The sequence below is a fragment of the Homo sapiens genome, chromosome 3 (assembly GCF_000001405.40).
Source record: "Homo sapiens chromosome 3, GRCh38.p14 Primary Assembly".
Lineage (NCBI taxonomy): Eukaryota > Metazoa > Chordata > Mammalia > Primates > Hominidae > Homo > Homo sapiens.
The window spans coordinates 164,173,469-164,199,788 of NC_000003.12; the positions used below are offsets into that span (position 1 = coordinate 164,173,469).

The window sequence follows — 26,320 nt, forward strand, 5'->3', positions numbered from 1 at the left end:
ACAAGACTTCTCCAATTTGTAACATTTCATACTCTATTAATTGCCGTTAGAATGATGATCTAAATATACACTCTATAAAAACTGCATTCTTGGTTAAACACAAAAGGTGATTATTTTTTATATACCTTTCTGAAATAAAAATGTTATATTAAGATGATGAAGATGACTGTTCTTTTAAAAATTGCAACATTAAAAGTAAATTACAAGTAGTTGAAATGTGTTTAAACTGTGCTTGGCCCTAATTGTGATAAGGGACTCACAGTTTACATTCTGAATATGCATTTGCTGTTTTGGTTCATAGTGTATTTAGTAAATGACCTCTTCTAGCACAGCAAATGTCACCTTAGTGGCTCATAAGTACTAATGTACAGCCAAAAATTGTCAGCCCTCACTCCCAATGCCACTTCACTCTTATAGTACCATGCTCGCAGCTCCATTGTTGATTCAATTTTCAGGATATAAGAATAGGTAATTATTTCAACATGTTTTAGTGTAGGCAAAAAACAGTTCAATATCTCTTTTACAATGCAAAAGGACTGTATTTGGAGATCTGGGAGATACATTATAAATATGTTATAGGCAAAGACATTTTTATCCTATTATATTCCATGCAACAAACATTTTTGGCTCAAATACATATTTTAAAAATTAATTATAATGTATTTGGTCACTATTATTGGCTTCTTTAACCTTCTTAATTTCACTGACATTTGCTCATTTAAAAAAAATACCTCACACTGTGTAAAATATAGCAAACCAATGTCATCCTTGTATTTCCTGTGCCCCCAGCTATCTGCAGTTTGAAAAGGAAACCACAAGAAGATAATGCGGTCTATTATTTTTTTTTAAAAAATGTATATTTTATGGGTTGTAAGATATTCTATTGGCACAAGTAAAGTGAATAAGGTTTATTGAGACCAATGATATAAAAGCTCAGATAGAACTTGGAGCTGCTGGTTTAAGATTTAAATGTTGTTGAAAATAAGAGAGCCTATTTTGCTCTGGTATGAACTCTGAAATAAACACTTAACACTTACATTTATAGATAACATTATTTTTACTTATTAAAAATATGCTTTATTTTTCCAATTTGACTTTTATAATTAATTAGTTTTAATCATGTAGCTTTAGCATACCCTTTCTTTCAAAATGTTTAGTGTTTTTAAACTATTAAGATCTTTGAAATTATTCTCAGCAATAACACGTTTTTAAAAATTTGCCAACTTTAAGAATTTCTAGGAAAAAATACATCCTTAAAAAGTGATTTACAACCAAAACAAAGCTTTCAACTGAAAAGATTATTTTAATAATCAATTTGGCAACCTAGGCAATACCATTCAGGACATAGGCATGGGCAAAGACTTCATGACTAAAACACAAAAAACAATTGCAGCAAAAGCTGAAATTGACAAATAAGATCTAATTAAACTGAAGAACTTCCGCACAGCAAAAGAAGCTATCATCAGTGTGAACAGGCAAGCTACAGAATGGGAGAAAATTTTTGCAATCTACTCATCTGACAAAGAGCTAATATCCAGAATCTACAAGGAACTTAAACAAATGTACAAGAAGAAAACAAACAACCTCTTCAAAAAGTGGGAGAAGGATATGAACAGACAGTTTTCAAAAGAAAACATTCATGCGGCCAACAAACATATGAAAAAAAGCTCATTATCACTGGTCGTTAGAGAAATGCAAATCAAAACTACAATGAGATACCATCTTACACCACTAGGAATGGCTATCATTAAAAAGTCAGGAAACAACAGATGCTGGAGAGGATGTACAGAAATAGGAATGCTTTTACACTGTTGGTGGGAGTGTAAATTATTTCAACCATTGTGGAAGACAATGTGGCAATTCCTCAAGGATCTAGAACCAGAAATACCATTTGACCCAGCAATCCCATTATTGAGTATATACCTAAAAAACTATAAATCATTCTACTATAAAGATAGGTGCACTCCTCTGTTTATTGCAGCACTATTCAGAAAAGCAATGACTTGGAACCAACCCAAATGTCCATCAAAACAGACTGGATAAAGAAAATATGGCACATATACACCATGGAATACTATGCAGCCATAAAAAAGATGAGTTCATGTCTTTGCAGGGACATGGATGAAGCTGAAAAGCATCATTTTCAGCAAATTAACACAGGAACAGGACACCAAACACAGCATGTTCTCACTCATAAGTGGGAGTTGAAAAATGAGGACATACGGGCACAGGGAGAGAAACATCACACACTGGGTCCTGTCGGGGGGTGGGGGACAAGGGGAGGGATAGCATTAGGAGAAATATCTAATGTAGGTGGCGGGTTTATGGGTGCAGCAAACCACTGTGGCACATGTATACCCATGTAACAAACCTGCACTTTCTACACATGTATCCCATAACTTAAAGTATAATAAAAAAGATAATTTTGATAATTAATTATGCACATCTTCATCAATTCCTAAGGAATTGATGGTCATTAAAGTGCTCAAAATGCATGCTCAAAATATGTTATATATTTATTTTTTTAAGAATCCATAAGTATATAACAACAGTTTGAAATATAATCTATGTAAAATTCATACCCTAAATTGTTCTGAAATGCATGTGGTGGCTTTGTTTATTTAATTAGTGATTACCGTATTTTGTGGCTTTACATTCTATATATGATTTTAAGCAGTGTAGCCACATTGTTGGTGTTCCAAAAAAGAAAATGTGGTGTATGGGAAACCACAGATTTATTTATTATTCAAGATTTGAGGTAGACTACTTAAAATACTATTAAAGTAGATTAGAAATATTGATTTTGAAGGTCTGCTAACAACTGCACCAAATGCATACATTATGCATGTTTACCTTGTTTATGGACGATAATCTAAGTATGCTTACTTGTAAGGGCAATAATTTGTGGTTCAATTTTAAATAACTTCTCAGTCATTAATAAGATATTACAGATACAGAATACATGTTAGCTTAAAATAGTCAATAATATGGTCAACTATGGTTAATAAAGAAAATAAGTTCAATAAATCACATTGCTGCTTAATAGATTTATTTTCTCTAGAGGCATAGCTTTATAAATAAGGAATCTAGCAATCAAAGTAAATGTCTTTGGAAAAACATAGTGTGTTTCATAGTATCTGAAGAGTTTTTTAAATTTATTTTAATTTTTTGACCTACCTAGAATACATGTAATTATATTAAAATATATGTCACTACTTAAATGTGTTAATATCCATCTGCATAATTATCTAAATCAATTGCATTTATAGATCTTATCTATACCAATTTGTATATTCTGTCAATAAGTTTCTTTTACAATATATATGATTTTATAAATATTATCTGTAGCTTCTCCCCCTCCCCACCACATAAAACAACATCACAGGATGAATTTTGAGAAAGAAAGTTATTAAAACATACATAAAAAAACAAACCTCAAATATATGGTGATTCTGTAGGTACAAGTTTTACCTAATTAAAGCATATTATTATTATTTATTTATTTTGAGACAGAGTCTTGCTCTGTCACCCAGGCTGGAGTGCAGTGGTGTGATCTCGGCTCACTGCAGCCTCTGCCTCCTGGGTTCCAGTGATTCTCCCGCCTCAGACCCCTGGGTAGCTGGGATTACAGGTGCATGTCGCCATGCCCGGCTGATTTTTTTTGTATTTTTAGTACAGACGGGGTTTCACCATGATGGCCAGGCTGGTCTTGAACTCCTGACCTCAGGTGATCCACCTGCCTTGGCCTCCCAAAGTGCTGGGATTACAGGCATGAGCCACTGTGCTCAGCCAAGGCATATTATTTAGACATACATAAATATGTATGTTTAAACCAAACTGAACTATGTTTAAACCAAACTGACCCAAACTGAAACATTGGTTCTCTGGCATCCAAAAAATGAACTTTACTTCTTATTTGGAGCAATCAGCAGTGTAGAAATACAGGACACACAAGACCCAGATATATTCTTTTGAAGAGAATATATCAGGGAGTAATATATTGATTTGCAGGCAACAGGATACTTAGAAGGCAAGACCTTCCATAAGTTTATGAGAAACTTTCTCACTTGCTTTGGTGACTTTTATAATTTGGGCAATATACTAACAAGGATGGAAATTCTTGATCTCTTCAGTAGAAAGTAAAATTTGTTTTTTATTCAAGTATACTGGATGAACAATTAAAAAGTTACACTTGTTGACTGCAAAGGACTCAGGAGCTAACAACTGTTTTCCCATGAGCATTCATTCAGAGCCTTGGAGAAATGTGTGCATTAAAAATGCCTGTAACATGTTTTGCACATTGAAGAAGGAATTTTTATAGACATACACTCCAGTACTGGGAGTTTAAAAACAAAAAGATGGGGTTTGCACCAAGGCTTTTTTGGCCGTTTGAAGATATACATTTATGAATAATAGATCAGAGATTAATAATGAGCATGATGAGCAATTTATAAGATAATTAGAAATCTTGTAGCTTCCAGAAACATTTTTATTACTCATAAAGCTACAGGAAAGTTCTACCACATGTAATTACTCATAGAGAAAATAGATAGTGATAATAATAATAAATTATTTATATAAAAATAAATTAGATAAAAATAAAGACAGGAAAAATGTTAGAGGAAATTGAAATTGCAGAATTTTGAAAAGGAGAAAATTAATGAGTTTTGTTTTATAATTTGAAAAATGAATTTGTCAGTTTTGTTTCATGAGTTCAAATTCTGATTTATTTTCTTACCACTTGCATGACTTAGAGCAAGTTTTTTCAACAGTAATGTGCATTTTTATTCTTCTGCCAAGTGAGATAATAATTTCTTAATTTGTCATTGTGATTAAATGAGATATATATTTCTCATTCTATACATTTAAAGAAAATTTAAATTTGTTGTGGCAATATATTCCTAGAATTCAAGTTTCTAATAGTCAGGATGAGTAGACACTGGCCAAAACAATGCTGTCAGAAGACAATACAATCAGAGAAGATTTATGCTAAGTAGATTTTAAATACAATTGAATTATTTAATATGAATGCAGGTAATTCATCATGGCAAAGAAACAAAAGTTTCTTTCAGACAGTAATTGAATAAAATTGTGCTAACTTCTGTTTAAAACTATCCTGGTTAGTAAAAATAAGACAATATTGGTAGATCTCTGTATTTAACCACAAAAAGCATTGTATATTCTGCTAAATACAATTATAAATAATGAGAACACCAAATTAAATAATACAGGAAAAGTACATGATATTAGCAAAGTATTATAATCCCTAAGATATGGAAGGGCTATTACATAAGCAGAAGGAGTAAAATTTAATTCGGCCATTGTATTAGTCCATTCTCACTGCTATAATGATACTACCAGAGACTAGGTTTTTTATAAAGAAATAAGGTTTAATTGACTCACAGTTCCGCTTGGCTGGTGAGGCCTCAGGAAATTTACAATTATGGTGGAAGGCAAACCGAAAGAAAGGCACATTAACATGGTGGCAAAATAGAGAGAAAGAAAGTGCCACACTTTAAAACACTCAGGTCTCATGAGAACTCACTCACTGTCATGACATCCACATGGAGGAGATTACCTTTGTAATAAAAGTACCTCCCACTGAGAGGTGACAGCGTGCTGGCAGCCCTCGCAGCCCTAGCTCACTGTCGGCTCCTCTTCAGCCTCGGTGCCCACTCTGGCCACGCATGAGGAGCCCTTCAGCCCACCGCTGCACTGTGGGACCCCCTCTCTGGGCTGGCTGAGGCCGGAGCTGGCTCCCTCTGCTTGCAGGGAGGTGTGGAGGGAGAGGCGCAGGTGGGAACCGGGGCTGTGGGTGGCGATCTCAGGCTGAGTTCCGGGTGGGCATGGGCTTGGCAGGCCCTGCACTCAGAGCAGCCGGCCGGTGCCGCCGGCCCTGTGCAGTGAGGGGCTTAGCACCTGGGCCAGCAGCTGCAGAGGGTGCGCCGGGTCCTCCAGCAGTGCTGGCCCACCAGCACTGTGCTCAAATTCTTGCCAGGCCTCAGCTGCCTCCCCACGGGGCAGGGCTCGAGACCTGCAGCCAACCATGCCCGAGCCTGCCCCCCGCCGTGGGCTCCTGCATGGCCTGAGCCTCCCTGATGAGCGCCGCCCCCTGCTTCACAGGGCCCAGTCCCATGGACAGCCCAAGGGCTGAGGAATGCAGGTGCGTGGCGCAGGACTGGCAGGCAGCTCTGCCTGCGGCCCTGATGGAGGATCCACTAGGCCAAGCCAGCTGGGCTCCTGAGTTGGGTGGAGACTTGGAGAAATTTATGTCTAGCTACAGGTTTGTAAAGACACCAATCGGCACCCTGTGTCTAGCTCAAGGTTTGTAAATGCACCAATCAGTACTCTGTCTGGCTAATCTAGTGGGGACTTGGAGAACTTTTACCTCTAGCTAGAGGATTGTCAATGCACCAATCAGCACTCTGTGTCTAGCTGAGGGATTGTAAACACACCAATCAGCACCCTGTCAAAATGGACCAATCAGCAATCTGTAAAATGGGCTAATCAGCTCTCTGTAAAATGGACCAATCAGCAGGATGTGGGTGGGGTCAGATAAGGGAATAAAAGCAGGCTGCTCGAGCCAGCAGCAGCAACTCCCTCGGGTTCCCTTCCACAGTGTGGAAGCTTTGTTGATTCGCTCTTTGCAATAAATCTTACTGCTGCTCTCTGTTTGGATCCACCCTGCCTTTAGGAGCTGTAACAATCACCGCGAAGGTCTGCAGCTTCACTCCTGAGGCCAGCGAGACCATGAACACACCTGGAGGAATGAACAGCTCTGGATGGGAGGAACAAACAACTCCAGACATGCCGCCTTAAGAGCTGTAACGCTCACCGCGAAGGTCTGCAGCTTCACTCCTGAAGCCAGCAACACCAACAAACCCCCCAGAAGGAAGAAACTCTGAACACGTCCGAACATCAGAAGGAACAAACTCCAGACACACCATTTTTAAGAACTGTAACACTCACCGCGAGGGTCCACGGCTTCATTCTTGAAGTCAGTGAGACCAAGAACCCACCAAATCCAGACACACCACCATGTCACTTCCTCAACACATGGGGATTAGAATTCGATATGAGGTTTGGGTGGGAATGCAAAGCAAAACCATATCATTCTGCCCCAGCCCCTGCCAAATCTCATGTCCTTTTTACATTTCAAACCCAATCATGTTATCCTGCATTAGTCCAATCTCACAATGCTATAAGAACATACCCGAGACTAAGTAATTTATAAAGGAAAGAGGTTTAATTGACTCACACTTCCACAGGGCTGGGTGGCCTCAGGAAACTTACAATCATGGTGGAAATAGAAGCAAACCCATCCTTTTTCACAAGGCAGCAGGAGAGAAAAGAATGAATGCTGAGTGAAGGGAAAAGCCCCTTATAAAACAATCAGATCTTGTGAGAACTCACTATCATGTGAACAGCATGGCAGAAACTGCCACTATAATTCAATTATCTCTACCTTGTCCCTCCCATTGCATTGGAAGATTTTGGGAACTATTTTACATTTAAAGATAACAATTGAGTGGGGACACAGCCAAATTGTATTATTCTACACCTGGCCCTTCCCAAATCTCATGTTCTCAAAATTCAAAGACAATCATGTCCTTCCAACCGTTCCCCCAAAGTCTTAATTCATTCCAGCATTAACTCAAAAGTCTAAGTCCAAGTCGCTTTTACATAGGAGCCTGTTAAAAATGCAAATTAGTTACTTCCTAGAAACAGTGGGGGTATAGGCGTTCAATAAATACACCCACTCCAAATGGGAGAAATTGGCCAAAAAGGAAGGGGATACAGGTCCCATGGAAGTCTGAAATCCACTGGGGCAGTCAAATGTTAAAGCTCTGAAAAGATCTCCTCTGACTCAATGTCTCACATCCAGGTCACGCTGATGCAAGAGGTGGGTTCCCATGCTGATGCAAAAGGTGGGTTCCCACATCCAGGTCATGCTGATGCAAGAGGTGGCTTCTCACAGCACTGACCCTGTGGTTTTTGGGTACAAGCCCCCTCCCAGCTGCCTTCTCAGGCTGACATTGAGTGTTTGCAGCTTTTTCTGATTCATGGTGCAAGTTATCAGTGGATCTACCATTTTGGGGTCTGGAGGGCAGTGGCCCTCTTCTCACAGCTCCACTAGGCAGTGCCCCAGTGGGCACTCTATGGGGGCTCCAACCCTATATTTCACTTCCACATGGCACTACTAGAGGATCTACATGAGTGCTCCACCCCTGCAGCTAACTTCTGCCTAGATACCCAGGTGTTTTCATACATCCTTTAGAAATCTAGGTGCAGGTTCCCAAACCTCAATTCTTCACTTATGTGCACCCATAGGCTCAACGCCATGTGGAAATTGCCAAAGTTTGGGGCTTGTACCTCTGAAACCATTGCCTGAGCTGTATATTGGCCCCTTTTAACTATGGCTGGGATGCAGGGCACCAATTCCCAAGACTGCAAAAATCAGCAAGGCCCTGGGCCTGGTCCATGAAACCATTTTTTTTCTTCTAGGTCTCCAGACTTGTGTTGGGAGGGGCTGCTGTGAAGACCTCTGACATACCCTAGAGACATTATCCCCACAGTTTTGGTGACTAACATTTGTTTCTTGTTACTCATGCAAATTTCTGCAGCTGGCTTGAATTTCTCCTTAGGAAGTGGGTTCTTATTTTGTGTCACATTGTTAGGCTTCAAAGTTTTCAAACTTTTATGCTCTGGTTCCCTTTTAAACATAAATTCCAATTCCCAACCATACCTTTGTCTATACATAAACCTGAATTCTTTTAACAGCACCCAAGTTCCCTCTTGAATGCTTTGCTGTTTAGAAGTTTCTCATGCCAGACACCCTAAATTATCTCTCTCAAGTTCAAAGTTTCACAGATCTCTAATGTAGGGGCAAAATGCCACTAGTCTCTACGCTAAAACTTAGAAAGAGTCACCTTTATTCTAGTTCTCAACAAGTTTCTCCTCCCCATCTGAGACGACTTCAGCCTGGACTTCATTGCTCATATCGCTATCAGCATTTTGGTCAAAGCCATTCAACAAGTCTCTAGGAAGTTCCAAACGTTCCCACATCTTCCTGTCTTCTTCTGATCCCTCCAAACTTCCAACCTCTGCCTGTTAACCAGTTCCAAAGTGGCTTCCACATTTTTGGGTATCCTTATAGCAGTGTCTCACTACCTGGTATCAATTTACTGTATTAGTCCTTTTTCATGATGCTATAAGAACATATCCAAGACTGAGTAATTTATAAAGGAAAGAGGCTTAACTGACTCACTCTTCTACAGGGTGGTGGAGGCCTCAGGAAACTTACAATCATGGCAGAAGGGGAAGCAAACACATCTTTCTTCACAAGATGGCAGGAGAGAGAAGAATGAGTGCCAACTAAAGGGGGAAGCCCCTTGTAAAATCATCAGATTTTGTGAGAACTCATTATCATGAGAACAGCATGGCAGAAAATGCCCCCATGATTCAATTAACTCCACCTGGTCCCTCCCACAACACATAGGGATTATGGGAACTACAATTCAAGATGAGATTTGAATGGGGACACAGACAAAGCATATTAATTCCTAACAGTCCCCAGAAGTCTTAACTCATTCCAGCATTAACTCAAAAGTCCAAGTTCAAAGTTTCATGTGAGACAAGGAAAGTCCCTTCTGCTTATAAGCCTATAAAATAAAATAAAAAAAGCCTGTTACTTTCAAGATACAATGCGGGTTCAGGCATTGGGTAAATGTGCCCATTCCTTCTGGGATAAATTTGTGAAAACAAAGGGACCATAGGTCCCATGCAAGCCTGAAACCAGGCAGGACAGTCATTAAATCTAAATGCTCCAAAATAATCTCCTCTGACACCATGTCTCACATTCACAGCATGCTGATGCAAGAGCTGAGTTCAAAAGGCCTTGGGCAGCTCTTCCCTGTGGCTCTGCAGGCTACAGCTCTTGCAGCTTCTTTCACAGGCTGACATTGACTGTGGCTTTTCCAGGTGCACGGTGCAAGCTGTTAGTGGATCTACCATTCTGGGGTCCGGAGGATGGTGCTGCTTTTCTCACAGCTCCACTAGGCAGTGCCACAGTAGGTATTCTGTGTGGGAGCTGCAACCCCACATTTCCCCTCTGCATTGCCCTAGTAGAGGTTTTCCATGAGGGTTCCACTCCTGTAGAAACTTCTGCCTGGACATCAAGTGTTTTCATACATACTCTGAAATCTAGGTGGAGGCTCCAAAGCTCAACTCTTGTCTTCTTCACACCCACAGGCCCAATACCTCAGGGAAGCCACCAAGGCTTGGGGCTTGCACCCTCTGAAGCCATGGGCTAACCTGTACCTTGGCCCGGTTTAAACACAGCTGGAGTTGTAGTGGCTTAGACAAAGGGCACTAAGTCCTGAGGCTGCACAGAGCAGGGGGGCCCTGGGCCTGGCCCATGAAATCACTGATTTCTCCTGGGTCTCTGGGCCTATGATGGAAGAGATTGCCCCAAAGGTTTCTGTCATGCCCTAGAGACATTTCCCCCATTATCTTTATTATTCATGTTTGGCTCCTCATTACTTATACAAATTTCTGCAGCAGGTTTAAATTCCTCCCCAGCAACTGGGATTTTATTTTCTACCACATGGTCTGGCTGCAAATTTGTGAAACTTTTATGCTCTGCTTCCCTTTTAAATACAAATTTCAATTTCAAGTCATCTCTTTATGAACACATATATCTATACACTTTTAGAACAATCCAGATCACCTCTTGAATGCTTTAATCCTTAGACATTTCTCCTGCCAGATACCCTAAATCATGTCTCTTAAATTCAAAATTTCATAGATCTCTAGGACAGGACCAAAATGCCACTAGTCTCTTTGCTAAAACATAGTGTGAGTGATCTTTGCTCGATTTTCCAACAAGTTCCTTATCTCCATCTGAAGCCACCTCAGCCTTGATGTCACTGTCCATATCACTATTATCATTTTGGTCAAAACCATTCAACAAGTCTCTAGGAAGTTGCAAACTTTTCCTCATTTTCCTGTCTTAAGTCCTGCTAACTGTTCCAACCTCTGCCATTTACCCAGTTCCAAAATTACTTCCATATTTTCAAGTTATCTTTATAGCAGTAACCCACTCTGTTGGTACGAATTATCTGTATTAGTCCATTCTCACAGCACTATAAAGATAATACCTGAGACCGGGTAATATATAAAGAAAGGATGTACAACTGACCCACAATTTCACATGGCTAGGGAGACCTCAGGAAATTTAGGATTCTAACAGAAGGTGAAGGGAAGCAAGGCAGGTCTTACAAGGCAGGAGGAGAGAGAGAGAGAATAAGGAAGTGCCACACTTGAAAACCATCACCTCTGATGAGAACTCACTCACTATAATGAAAAGAGCATGGAGAAAATTGTCCCCATGATTCAACTGCTTCCTTCCTGGTTCCTCCTTCAACACAGGTGAATTAAAATTTAAGATGAGATTTGGTTGGAGACACAGAGCTAAAATGTATCAGCTATGGAATATTTTCATATATGGTTCAGGGTCTACTGATTTGAGACAAGTTATTTAAGAACTTGTTTTAAGAGTACTGATAAGCCAATCAGACAAAAACTTGTTAAAGTGGAGCATTTTTGGGGGGGGTGATAGAACAATGTTCAAAGACAGAAAAGTATAAAAATGAAGGTTATTTAAAATAAAATAATATGCCTGAAACACAGAAAAAGAATGAAAGTGGTAAGAATGAACATTGGGAAAGCAGGCAGAAACATCTTGAAGGATTTTATACGATATACTAAAACATTTGAACTTCATCAAGAAGGTAATGGAAAATTTTAAGTAGAAAAAAGACAGTAATTTTTTAGGCAACCTGAATTCACTTTTGGACACGGATATGGTTTGGTTCTGTGTCCCCACCCAAATCTCATGTCAAATTGTAATCTCCACATGTTGAAGGAGGGATCTGGTGGGAGGTGATTGGATCATGGGGGTGGAGAGTGAGTGAGTTCTCACGGTATCTGATGGTTTAAAAGTGTGGCACTTCCCCCCAAATTCTCTCTCTCTCTCTTGCCTTGCCATGACATGCTTGCTTCCTCTTCACCTTCTGCCATGATTGTAAGTTTCCTGAGGCCTCCCAGTCACAATTAAACATCTGTTCTTCATAAATTACCCAGTATCAGGTGGTTATTTATAGCAGGGTGAGAACAGACTAATACACACCCGTATGCAGAAGATCTATATACAGCTACTCAATAAACAGTTTGAGCAGTCTGTAATACGTTGGGTGCGATTGAAGACATGATACTGGAAAAAATTACTCAAGAAAAGATTCTAGAGTAAGAACAGAAAAACAAACGTGAAACCCTGAAGAACTACAATACTGAAATACACAGAGCAGGAGAATGCAAAGGTGAATGAGAACAGATATTCAAAATGGTACAGGAAAAAACAAGAGAGAATTGTTTTATAATAATATGGAAAAAGAGGTTGATGAATTATGTCAAATGCTGAAGAGAGGTAAGTTAAGCAAGAACTAAGAAAAAGTCACTTCTAGAAAAAAAAATGCCAAAGTATGACGTTGAGTTAAAAATATAAAACAATAATTGTGTATACATAGGGTACTGCTATGTATTGAAAGTCTGTGTCCCTCCAAAATTTCTATGTTAAATCCTAAATCCCCCAGATGATGGTATTTGTTGGTGTGTGCTTGGGAAGTGATTGGGTCACCAGGGTAGAGCCCTCATGAATGTTATTAGTGTCATTATAGAGACACAGAAGAGGATGGTCTCTTCTCTCTCCTCCCCTATAAGGATAGGAATCGAGGGCCATCTGCAGACCAGGAAGAGTACCCTGCCCAGACGTATCTGCTGGCAACTTGATCATTCACTTCCCAGTCTCCTTAATTGTAAGGGCAAAAACAATTATCTTGTTTCAGCCACCCAGTGGATGGTATTCCATTATAGCAGCGTAAACTAAGACTGTTACAATTCCCATTTCTTAAAAAATATATATATATAAATAAAAATAAAAATAAAAATAAATAAATAAATATATATATATATATATCTGTATAAACAAACTCGATGACCTGGAAAGAAATACCACACCATATTAATACCTATGTGCAGACTATTTTATTTTTCGAAATTGTATACATTTCCCAAAACATTATTTTAGAAGGAAAAAAGAATTCATTAAATTTTCTACTTAAGGAGGCAGTATGTAAAATTGGAAAGAGCATTTAGTTTAGAATCAAACTTGCCTAAGCCCCAATACCACCTCTTCTGTTTATTAATCTTCTAGTGTTTAAAGCCAGTTGCAAAAGTATAGCAAATTATAGAATAGTTATATCTTTTTTCATGAAATAGAAATTTCATCTTATCATAATATTAATATAAATTGATATGTAGATTTTTAAAATTATTTTCTTTCTCTATTTTGTTCCATTGCACCATTGTGTAATTCTGAGCAAATAACAAATAATCAATTTAAAACTAAGCGTTAAATGAGCTTAATAAAATATTAGGGATAAATCAGCATCTCAATTAGTTTCTCACACTGTACGTTAACAAAAATGTACTGTGTATCATCATCATGTTCTCTTTAAGCAAAGTCAATATTTTGACTTTACTAAGAAGTCATTAGAGAAAATTATTAAAAAGTTATAGAAAATTATAGAAAAAATTAGAAATTATTTAAAAATAGAAAAATGTAATAGATTCCTATATTTCAAATAAAATTATTAAAAATTTAGAAAATTTATATTTATAAATTATACCAAATTATAGAAAAACATAGAATTGTAAAAAGTATAGACATTTTAATAAAATTATAGAAAATATAATTATAAAAATTACAGAAAATTTTTAAATTATTAAAAAAATTGTTGGGGCTGGCATTGGCTTGAATAATTATATTTGCAAGTGAATAAAAATGAAGCTGAGGTCTTAAGCCTTCAGGAAATTGTGATATGTTCAGTTTTTGGTCCTGAGAGTAAAGTTGTGAGTAGCATAGCATAGCCAATAGCAGGAAATCTAAAGGAAATCAAAGCTGCTGCCATGTACCACAATAGGCATAATTAAAGGAGAAAAGATAATGAACAAGTAAGTAATTTCAATAAGAGGCAAAAATATTGAGAAAATATTTTGAAGAAGTATTTTCAATAAGAGGCAAAAATAAAGAGATGACCATTGGTTTAAAGCTCTTTAAAACCCACTTCCACAACCAAGCCTCCTCTTTTCTTCCTTCCTCTCAACTTCTTGCCTTCTTCCCTTTTCATTCTCCCTTCTCTCGTCTCTAGATCTATCTACCAATCATCTGCCTAATTTGCTTTTTTTTCTTTATTTTTTTCAAGACAGAGTCTCCCTCTGTTGTTTAGGCTGGAGTGGAATGTCACAGTCTTGCCTCACTACAACCTCTGCCTCCCAAGTTAAAGTGATTCTCGTGCCTCAGCCTTCCGAGTAGCTGAGATTACAGGCATGCGCCACCAGGCCCGGCTATTTTTTGTATTTTTAGTAGAGACTGGGTTTCACCATGTTGGCCAGGCTGGTCTTGAACTCCTGGACTCAAGTGATCAACCCACGGCCTCTCAAAGTGCTGGGTTATAGTCATGAGCCCCTGTGTCCAGCCATCTGCCTAATTTCTATCTATCTGTCCCTCAACTTTTGGACTACATTTCTGTGTCATAAAATTACTTCCAGAGGTATCTTTGTTAACAACATTGCTATTTCCTAATGTTCTTACATGCACATCTTTCTGGGTGAACGGTCACAAAATTAAGAACTTGAGCAGTCCTAACCTGAGTTACTGAGGTTGCATATGCGCTACTTAGGCCAATAACTACAAATGGAAGCCTGGATCTATCTCAGCCTCTCCATTGCTTGCTGCTAAAGAGAGTAATGCTTATAAATTGCATAACACTTAGGAATGTTGTAGCTTTATATTTCAGAGGTATATTCAGAATTTATTTTGAATTCTGAATCACAATTTTAAGAGTTTGATTTTTGATATGGGAGAAAAGATGTTGGGCCAAAACACAGAAATACTGCATCTTTTCTATTATATTATATCTGAAGATGGAAACTTCTTCCTTGTGGAAAACTTGAACAAATATACAAGAGAAAGATAAACAACCTCAACACCCAGCACCCATAATCAGATTATAGTTCAATGAAAGACTGTAGAGATGAACAAAGAAATTAACAAGGAGTCAATAAATTTCAGAATCTAGGGAAAAACCAGAAACCAAAAAGTGTTGACAATTAGGTAATATTTTAGATTCAGAAATCCTGTCCAAGCCTAAATTCACTAAAGACTTTTTCATCTAAAGGTACTTTGGGAGATGTACTTCTGTGCAATGCCTTTTTCTTTGCCACATTTTGGAAGCATTATTTAGCTCTCTAATTAATTTACAAAAGAATGCAACCAATTTATATTATAATTTGCACTGATTTTTCAAGAACATATCTACTACATAGAAACGGCCAACAAGGCAATTGGCTAAAATGCACATTTTTCAGAAAAGTATATACACACACACATACATACATGTATATATAAATATATATACACACGCACACACACTTGCTGACTACAAAATAAAATTGGTCATTTAACTTTTCATGAAAGTATTAATAAAAAATTGATTATTTGGAGAAACAGTTCTGGTTGGTTTTCAACACACATAGAAAATATGATTTCACTTGCATAGTGCTATGAATTTGTGGAAAATATAAAATATGCAAAGCATATTGAATAAAGCTTTAGAATTCTGGAAAAAGTAAATTATATATTTTCTTTCCACTTCATCATTTAGAAAAGATGTTGATTGCAAATACACAATCTATAGCCTTTCCTACACAGTTAAGTTTCTAAAATATATTCCAGCTCCTTGAATCCAGCTAAATGTGTACAGGTACTTATCAAGTTAGGCAACCCATTTAATTGCAGGAATTATTTTTGTTGTTCCTGCAATCAGTGTGCAATCAGCTAGGAGAGCTAAATATAACTATTGCACTCAGTCTTTTAAGTTTCTCATTTTGGGCTTTCTTAGGTCTAACGTAGAACCAGAAAATAACATCTTTGCTAAGAAAGCACATTTAAATTAATATAATTTTAAAATATTTGTATTTCAAACATTGATTTCCTTTAACAGTTTGAAACCCAAATTCATCATTTCTTGGGATATGTTTTCACAAAATTGCTTATATAATGAATTTATTTTATGTTAATGATAAAGACGAAAGCATGTACTTGAATCAAAAGCAAAATAATACCTACCATTTGAGTGCTTACAGTGAAGAGGCTTTGCATTTATTATCCTTTCACCTAAGAGCCATAAATGGTGGCACAATTATTCTAACTCTGGAGGACCAGTGATATGAGAATAGCTAATTATACCTAAGGTCACAGAAATGGAAGAAGTAATTCTAGGTTTGGATATCAGGTTTATTTAGTTCTGAAGCTGTAGTTAAAAAGCACAGAAATTTATTACATATCCTTCATTTTCCTTAGACAGAAAGTAATAAGGTTATAACTGAAGAGCATTGGTGAAACACTTTCCTTACATGTAATACATATATTAAGTAACTATAGAAAGAGGTCAATGAAAATCAGCACTTTTGAAATCAACTCTATATTTGTGCTCATAGATGTCAAGTGGGTGATTACAAAAAAGTAACTGATTTAGATTTCCTGATATTAGGAACTCTGTTATACTTATTGGAAGATAAAATCACAGGGAAGTACAGAATTTTTCTGGCATCCTTTTGTAACAAAACCTTCCAGTACTCGTTCATGAAAACAGGAGAAATTGATTTATTTCTAGCAGATTGGCTTGGTATATATAATAATACAATCTAAGCTAGGGAGTTTGATTCTTCATGTTTTAGGAATGGATTCTACACATCAACAAAGGATACAAACATGTATTAAATGCCCACTAAATGCATACAGTTTGAAAGCTACAAATGCTGATTATATGCAAATACAGGAGAGATGTGTTCATTTCACCAGGACTCCTACTTGGATTTAGGTATGATATATACTTTAAAAATATCATATTATAAAAATAATATATAGTTTATGGGTTTTGCTAATCTAAAATAAGCTAAATCTGTTTAGCTTATTAAGCATCTCAATAAGCCTTTTCTCTTTTTGTAAACTTTGCTATTCAGTATTCCTTTTGGACCATTAGAAAAACATGTTTTTTTAAGGAGCTTTCAAAACAAAATCTTTAAAATATAATATTAATAATTGATATCAAGTATTTTGTATGATATAAAATACTTTGTTATATATAAAATGTCTTGTCATCACAAAAAAGCAAACATGTTAACAATGTCTATTTTTCCATGATAAGGGAAACCTTGAATTTACTTCTAAAATTTGATGATGTGGGGGATAATTTAGAGATGATGTGATTTTTTACTTCATTACACCAAAGCAGCTGACAGTACTTTAAAAGGAGCTGTGGGAAAACAAAATGGAACTATCAAAGACAAAGTAGGGAATGTAATATATATGTAATCTATACAGAAATCAGAAAAGCTAACTGAATATACATGTAATTGAATAATTCATTAAACTGTTAAATACACTTCAAGTCAGTTAATATTAATTTAATTTTTAAAAACTAATTTTAACCTAAAGTCATCAAGTACAACTTGTTGTAAATTCTAGGTAATTCATTATTTCAATGATTCAAAGTAGATATATTAATCGTGATTTTCAAAATTTCAGAAATCTCCTATTCATACTCTGATTAATGATTATTCTAACATACTTATTAACTATATTTACTTATTTTTAAAGAATATTAAAACATGCATAGTTATTTACTACACATTAAGTTTCAGATAACAAATATGTATTGATATTATGACAGGACGTCAAAATAAATCATTATAGACAAGTATCCTGATGTATTTATTCAGGATACATTTCTTACCTACCAAAGAAAACCATATAAATGATGTGATTTCTTCTTATGTAATAGATCTTTTCAAATATGATATGTTTCTATAAAAATTCAATGTTGGCACCCCACTGAAGATTAAGGATGAAAGTAGGAAAGGTGATCACAATGCTTAATTTATTCATGTAAGGAAGATGAGGCCTCAAAATAATAGAGGACATGTGCAGAGTGTTATGTTCAAGAAGTCACAATAGCCATCATGACCAACAAAGCTAGAGGGATAGTCAAAGGATATTGACCCTCAGAGACCTGTTAAGATGGCTAATAGAAAGTGGTATGCCAATAGGTAAAAAGAGACAAACAATTGGGGTACTTAATATCTATAATCAAAAGAAAGCAGTAAGGTAGAAGCAGAAGGATGAAAGGATGGCCTCAATGGAAATGTATGAGTCCCTCCTTGATTTTCAAATTTAAGCCAATTTACAGTTCCAAAATCCATTAGCTAAAGATGTGTCTAGGTCCCTAGGATAGAGTATCATGCCATACCACTTTAAGTATAAACTGTAAAGCTTATTCACAGACCCTTTTCAGAGGACCCTTTCCTTATGGACTTGGGGAAAGGAAATATCTGTATATTCTGAGGACTACTAAACCCAGTATGTGAGTTGACATTGGTGACTGTAGGCATAAAGTAGCACTGTGACTCCTCTGTTAGCAAGGGGATATACATGGCTAGGGAATAAAATCGAATGCTGGCTAAATTTCAGCCTATAGTAACTTCATTGAATCTGCAGACCCTTCTATCCGTTCTTTCTCTTGCTCCGAAGTGCATAATTGAGATTGACATACTTGGAAGTTTTAATCATCTCATCAAGGCCTTGGCTTCTGGAATAAGGGATGCCACAATGGGGAATGCCAATTAGAATTCTTGAAAGTTCTTCGTCTTTAGTGAATATAGTAAATCACAAATAATATTTTATCTAGAAGTGGAGGAATGACAATTCTTAGTACCATCCTTAAAGACCTAGGGTTTGCAAAGGAAAGACATCCTAATATGAAAAAGACACATGTACATGCATGTTTATAGTGGCAAAATTTAAAACTGCAAAAATATGGAACTAACTTAAATGCTCATCAGCTCGCAAGTGGATAAAGAAAATGCGCTATATGTACTGCTATATATCCGCCCAAAACTATTGAAATAAAAGAAAAAATGAAAAAATAAATGTAAAAGTAAAATAGAAAATAAAGATCTAGGATTCTTTTTATTTGAAATGGCTGACTAGAAGCAGTTAGTGTGTACCACTCTGACAGAAAGTAAAGTGCTGAGTAAATACTGACTCTTCAAGTGGATTGTCTAAGAAACCATGTTGAGATCCATCAAAGAAGTGAGGAGATGCATGGAGAATTAAGAAGAGTGAGGCTTAGCAGCCACCCACCTGGATGTGGTATAGACCTGGGAGAAGCTCCCTAATACAGGGAAATGGAGAGACAGTAAGAGCCCCTGGGGAATCTACATTTACCACAGGTACTTTTGCAATCTGGGAAGCCAGAGAATCACCTGACTCCCATAGATCTCTAGAATAAAAAACAGAGCCACCTTGAGTTTTTGCAAAGACGGTGCTCGAGACCATGGGGAGCCCCACAGTCCCACAGGTTGGTGCCAGCTGCCATAATGCTGATAGAGGCTGCAATTACAGTGCTGGGGAGTGGTCAGACTGCCCTACTTCTCCTTGCTAGACAAGGCTCTGCTGGGCTTCCAGCACAGTGACCCTACCCACGCCTGAACTCTTCAGGTGGGCACAGGACTGTATTCCCCCAGAAACTTCACATACCACGGACCATGCAAACCTCCAACTCCCACCGCCCCTGGCCAGGCAAGACTTGCCAGCTTGGACTTCTAGAACAGCAACCCCACCCCTACCTGAATGCTGTGGATGGGCAAAGCTCTGTGTTGCCCTGGGAACCACCCTGATGACAGACTGTGTAACTCCTTTTACACCCACTGTTCAGAGCCAGGTATGCCTCATTGTTTTGAGCTTCCAGCACCTTGGCACAGCTTTGTGTTCTCACAGGAAATGTCCAGACAGTGGACATGGAACTCCCCCAGCCTTGACTGCTTCCATTCAAGCAAGACATGCAGTTTGGCAGTACCTGAATGAGAGAGGTGTCTTCTTTATCAGAACTGAGTAGGATGTGATGCTGGGTTCATAAGCTGTCATGGGAGCAGGGCATACTTCACTTTGCAGGGCTGATCCAAGAAGGGGGTGGTTTGTCTGCCAGCTGTGGCCTCTGCTTGAGGAAGCCCTGTGGCCTGGAACACCTAAGAAAGGACATAGAGGCATGGACCCAGTGATCAGAAGGGCCTCCTTCAAGGCCCAAGAGTGGAACTGGTGAGAGGTCATCTTTCTTTCCCACTCCACCGCAGAGCACTATTGTGAATGTGATAAAACACAAAAAAATGGAATAGCTATGTAAGAGCCTAAATCCTCACCATCACTCTTAAGCACCATCTACTGGATATCAGCCAAAATTATAACACCAAAAATATTTTTCCATTATGCAGTGTCTGTGAAACCCAAGACAAGAATTCAGATACAAATAAAAAAATTCAGGAATTGCCACCTGAAAGCATTCAGAAATGAAACTGACTATACTCAATTTACACCACAGTTAAAGGAATATCAACCCTTTCAGATGAGAAAGAATCAGCACACAAATTCTAGCAATTGAAAAAGCCAAAGTGTCTCTTTACCTTCAGATGAAAACACTACTCCCCACCCCACACCCCTGCATAATTGTTCTTAACCACACTAAAATGACTGGGATGACAGACACAGAATCAGAATCAGAATCTAGAAAGCAAGGAAGCTCATTAAGATCCAGGAGAAAAGTAAAACCTAATCCAATGAATTTAAAGAATCCAGTAAAACAATTCAAAATATGAGAAATGAAATAACCATTTAAAGAAAGAACCAAACTGAATTCTTAAAATTGAAAAAAATCACTACAAGAATTTTATAATATAGTTGAAAGCATTAACAGCAGAATAGACCAAAATGAGGAAGAATCTCAGAGCTTGAAGTCCAGGTCTTCAAATTAAATCAATCAGACCAAAATAAAGAATAAAAAGAATTTTTAAACATAAACAAAACCTCTGAGAAATACGGAATCATGTAAACAGACTGATTCTACAACTCACTGCCATTCCTGAAAGAAAAAGAGAGAGAGAGTAAGCAACTTGTAAAGCATATTTGAAGATGTTCATAAAAAAAACCCCTCCCCAATCTTACTAGAGGGGTTGACATATAAGGTCAAGAAATACACATAATCCCCTTGAGATACTGTACAAAATAACCATACCCAAGGTGCATAGTCATCAGATTCACCAAGGTCAATGTGAAAAAATATATCTTAAATACAGCCAGAGAGAAGGGTCAGGTCATTTCTAAAGGGAACCTCATCAGAATAGCAGTGGATCTCTCAGCAGAAACCTTATAAGCCAGAAAAAATTGAGGGCCTATTTTCAGCATCCTCAAAGAATGGAAATTCTAACCAAGAATTTTTTATTCTGCCAAATAAAGCTTAATAAGTGAAGGGAAAATAAAATTCTTCTCTAACAAGCAAACACTAAGGGAATTTATTACCAACAGACCAGATTTACAAGAAATCCTCAAGGGGGTGCTAAACATGGAAATGAAAGGTCAATACCTACTACCACGAAAACACACATAAGCATATAGCCCACAGATAACATAAAGCAATTACACAATCAAGTCTACAAAACAACCAGCTACCAACATGACGGCAGGAATAAAATTTTACATATCAATACTAACCTTGAATTTAAATGGTCTAAATGCCACATTTCAAAGGCATACAGAGGGCAGGAGGATAAAGAAAACGTTCTGCTGTCTTCAAGAGATGAATCTCACATGTAACATTCAAAGGTTCAAAGTAAAATAATAATAATAATAATTTTTTAAAATGGACAAAGAACTACTATGCAAATGGAAAACAAAAAAAGAGCAGGATTCACTATTCTTATACTAGATAAAACAGACTTCAAACCAAAAACAATCAGGAAAGACCAAGAAGGAAATTATATAATGATAAAGGTTCAATTCAAAAAGAAGACTTACCTATCCTAAATATATTTTTACCCAACATTGCAGCATCCAGATTCATAAAACAAGTTCTTTTAAATCTATGACAGTATTTAGACTGCCACACAATAAGAGTAAGGAACTTAAAATTCCACTAATATATCATTAGATAGATCATTTACTCAAAAACTAGTGAAGAGATTCTATACTTAAGCTCAACACATGATCAATTAGACCTAATAAACATCTACAGAATACTCCACCCAACAATCATAGAATATACATTCTTCTCATCCTCATAATGGAACATAGTCTAAGATTGACCACATGCTCAACCGTAAAGCCAATCTCAATAAATTAAAAAAATCAAAATCATACCAAGCACAATGTGGACCACAGTGCAATAAAAATAGAAAGTGATGCCAGGAAGATCTATTAAAAAAAAAAGGAAATTAGACAACTTGCTCCTGAATAACTTGGGTAAAAAACAAAATTCAGGGAGAAATGAAAAAAACAATAGAAATTAATAAAAATAGAGACACAACTTTCCAAGTCTCTGGTATGTGGGTAAAGCAGTGTTAAGTGGAAAGCTGATAATGCTAAATACCTTTATCAAGAAGTTACAAAGATCTCAGATTAACAATTTAACATCATACCAGGAGGAACTGGATAAAAAAACAAGCAAAATAACCACAAAGTTAGCGCAAAAAAAAAAAAAAAAGAAGAAGAACTAAAAGAAATTGAGATGTAAAAATCCAAACAACTGAAATATCAATGAAGGCAAGAGTTGGTTATTTGAAAGAATAAACAAGATTGATTGAACTCCAGCTAGATTATCAAAGGAAAAAAGATAATATCCAAATAAGTACAATCAGAAATGACAAAGGTGACATTACAACTCATCCCACAGCAATATAAGAGATCCTCAAAGACTTATGAACACCTCTATGCACAAAAATTAGAAAATCTGCAGAAAAACAACTCCTGGAAACACACAACATCTCAAGATTGAAGCAGAAAGAAAGTGGAAACCTGAAAAGACCAATAAAAAGTTCCGATATCAAATCATTAATTAAACAACAACAACAACAAATCCCTGAACAAGATGGATTCATGGCAGAATTCTACTGGATGTGAAAAGAAGTGGTATCAATCTTACCAAAAATATTTCCAAAAAAATTGATGATGAGGAGCTCCTTCCGAACTTATTCTGCAAAGTCAGCATCATCCTGATACACAATCTATCAGAGACACAATGACAAAAGAAAACTTCAAGTCAGTATACTTGATGAAAATGGATGTAAAAATCCTCAAGAAGATACTAGCAAGCTGAATCTAATAACATATCACAAAGTTAATTTACCAAAAACAAGTAAGATTTATTCCTGGAATATAAAAGTTGGGTTTTAACATACTCAAATAAATACATGTGATTTATCACATAAACAGAATAAAAAACAAAAAGCACATGATCATCTCAATAGATGCAGAAAAAGCACCATAAAATCCAACATCCATTTATAACAGAAACCCCCAACAGACTGAGTATCTAAGGAACATACGTCCAAAATCATAAGAACCATCGATGACAAATCCACAGCCAATATCATACTGAACAAGAAAAAGCTGAGACCATTTCCCTTGAGAACTGGAAGGACAAGAATGCCTACTCTCACCACTGCTATTCAACATAGTACTGGATGTCCTAGCCAGAACAATCAGAGGTGAGAGAATAAAAAGGCATCTAAATAGGAAAAGAAGAAGGGAAAATATCTCTCTTAACTATTAACATAATTCTATACCTAGAAAACCCCATAGTCTTTGCCCAACTGCTCCTCGAACTGATAAATAACTTCAGTAAATTTACAGGATACAAAATCAATGTATGAAACCCAGTAGCATTTCTATATACCAATAATATCCTCAATGAGAGCTAAATCAAGAACACAAACCCATTTACAATAGCCATAAAAAAGGGAAATATCTAATAAGACACCTAACCAAGGGTGTCGAAGATCTCTACAAGGAAAACTACAAAAAATGCTGAAATAAATCCAGACAATACATATAAATGAAAAAAAAAAAACGTCCACATTCATGGATCGGAAGAATCAGTATTGTTAAAATGGCCATACTGTCCAAAGCAATTTACAGATTTAATGCTATTTCTATCAAAATACCAATGTCATTTTTTCACAGATATGGAAAAAACTATTCTAAAATTTATATGGAATCATAAAAATAGCCCGAACAACCAAAGCATTATAAGCAAAAAACCAAGCTAGAGGCATCATATTACTGAACTTCAAACTATACTATAAGGCTACAGTAACTAAATAACATGGTACAAAAATAGAAATATAAGCTAATGGAACATAATAGGGAGCCCAGAAATAAACCTGCACACCTACAATCATATGATCCTTGACAGAGTCAACAAAAACAAGCAACGGGAAAAGTCTACCATAATTAATAAATGGTGTAGAGATGACTAGCTAGCCATAGGCAGAAAAATGAAACTGGAACCCTACCTTTTGTCATGTACAAAAATTAACTCCAGGTGGACTAAAAGTTTAAATGTAAGATCACAAACTATAAGAATCCTAGAAGACAACCTAGGAAATGCCCTTCTTGATATTAGCTTTAGCAAAGAATTTATGGCTAAGTCCCCAAAAGCAATTGTAACAAAAAAAAATTTAGAAGTGGGACCTAATTAAATGAAAGAGCTTCTGTACAGCAAAAGAACTGATCAACAGAGTAAACCGACAAGTAGCAGATGGGAGAAAATATTTGCAAACTGTGCATCCTTCAAAGGCCAAGTATCTAGAATTAATAAGGAAATCAAACGAATCAACAAGCAAAAAACAAATAATCCTATTCAAAAGTGTGCAAAGAACATGCAAAGACACTTCTCAAAAGAAGACCTACCAGTGGCCAACAAACATATATGATAAAATGCTCATCATCACTAATCTTCAGAGAAACACAAATGAAAACCAGAATGAAATACAATTTCACGTCAGAATGGGAATTGTTAAAAAATCAAAAAGTAACAGATGCTGGCAAAGAAAAGAATGCTTAGATACTGTTGAAATACAAATATTGCATGTTCTCACTTACAAGTGGGAGGTAAACCTTGAGTATACAGGGATATAGAGATGGAAACAATAGGTACTGAGGAGGAGGGTGAGAAAGAAGGGGGCACAGACTGTAAAACTATTGGGTACTGTGCTCATTAACTGAGTGACAGGATTATCCATACTCCAAACCTACGCATTACATAACATATCAATGTTAAAAACATGCATATTCATCCTCTGAAACCAAAATAAAAGTTGAAAAATATAATTAGAAGTTAATGTCAATAAAGACAAATAGCTCAGCTTCAACAAAGCAGAGGGGAAGCCATGTAACTTTAAGAAAAAAATAAATCGAATGTTTGTAAAGGTGGTATTGTCAGTCAAATCACTATTTGATTCACTGTTCTGACACATGCTACAACTGAATCGACCCTAAAGAATAATTAATTATCTCCAATAAACCATATTATATAGGGGATTCTCCTTCATGTAAAAACTATCTTTCCCCCAATTGTGCCAAATTCAAATAATAACTATGTGAGAGAAAAAACATGACAGAATAATAGAAATATTTCATGAAACTAAAGAGCTTCAGTTTAAAATAAAGCTCACAGGCCTTTAGTAATGTTTTTACAGGGTGTGACATTTTGGAATCAACACTTTGCCTAAGTGTTCTCAATAAGTCTGCAAAAGCTCTTGAAATGTTTTACTGTGATGTTTCCAATACTCTTAACAATGAATGTAATATGTTCTTTTTAAAGCAAATTATAAGCCAGCGTGTAATTTCTAAATGTGTGTGTGACTATATACAATTGTGAATAAGAAGTTATGTGTTGAATATTGGTGAACAAACATACACCTTGATTTTATGTAAATCATTAATAGGGTTTTGTGTGTGTCTGTGTGTGTGTGTGTGTGTAGAGGGTGCATATAAACCACTATATATTATACAAATGGTTACTTGATCTTATAATATAGTCTGGTTAATGGCTAGAAGAAAATAAAATGTGCTTGTTTTTCTTTTTCTTTTCTTTCTTTCCTTTTTTTTTTTTTTTTTTTGAGAAAGGGTCTTGCTTTGTTGCTCATGCTGGAGTATAGTGGCACAATCATGGCTCATGGCAGTCTCAGCCTCCTGGCTCAATCAATCCTCCCACCTCTGCATCCCAAGTAGCTGGGCTACAGTCATGTGCCACCACATCTGAAAATTTAAAAAAAAATGATTTTTATAGAGACAGGGTCTCCTTGTATT

General features: G+C 36.6%; 1 long non-coding RNA gene across 2 annotated transcripts in view, besides 1 other annotated feature; it reads right to left on the reverse strand.

The window, feature by feature from the left end:
* The window catches only part of LOC102724419 (uncharacterized), a 169,359-nt gene extending 145,275 nt beyond the window's left edge, over positions 1-24,084 (reverse strand). For both annotated transcript variants that reach the window (XR_001740997.2, XR_007096283.1), the window contains exons 1-2: positions 23,151-24,084; positions 20,040-20,208 (exon numbers count right to left, since the gene is read on the reverse strand). This is a non-coding gene — a long non-coding RNA (uncharacterized LOC102724419). The remainder of the gene's footprint in view (positions 1-20,039; positions 20,209-23,150) is intronic.
* Positions 5,852-7,051: an enhancer, noted in NCBI's record as "BRD4-independent group 4 enhancer chr3:163897108-163898307 (GRCh37/hg19 assembly coordinates)". NCBI's record gives its function as "activates an origin of replication core promoter dependent on BRD2, P300/CBP, MED14 and CDK7 cofactors, and independent of BRD4, by STARR-seq in HCT116 cells {active_cell/tissue: HCT116}" and the evidence as "EXISTENCE:reporter gene assay evidence [ECO:0000049][PMID:35650434]".
* Positions 24,085-26,320: the final 2,236 nt, after the last annotated feature.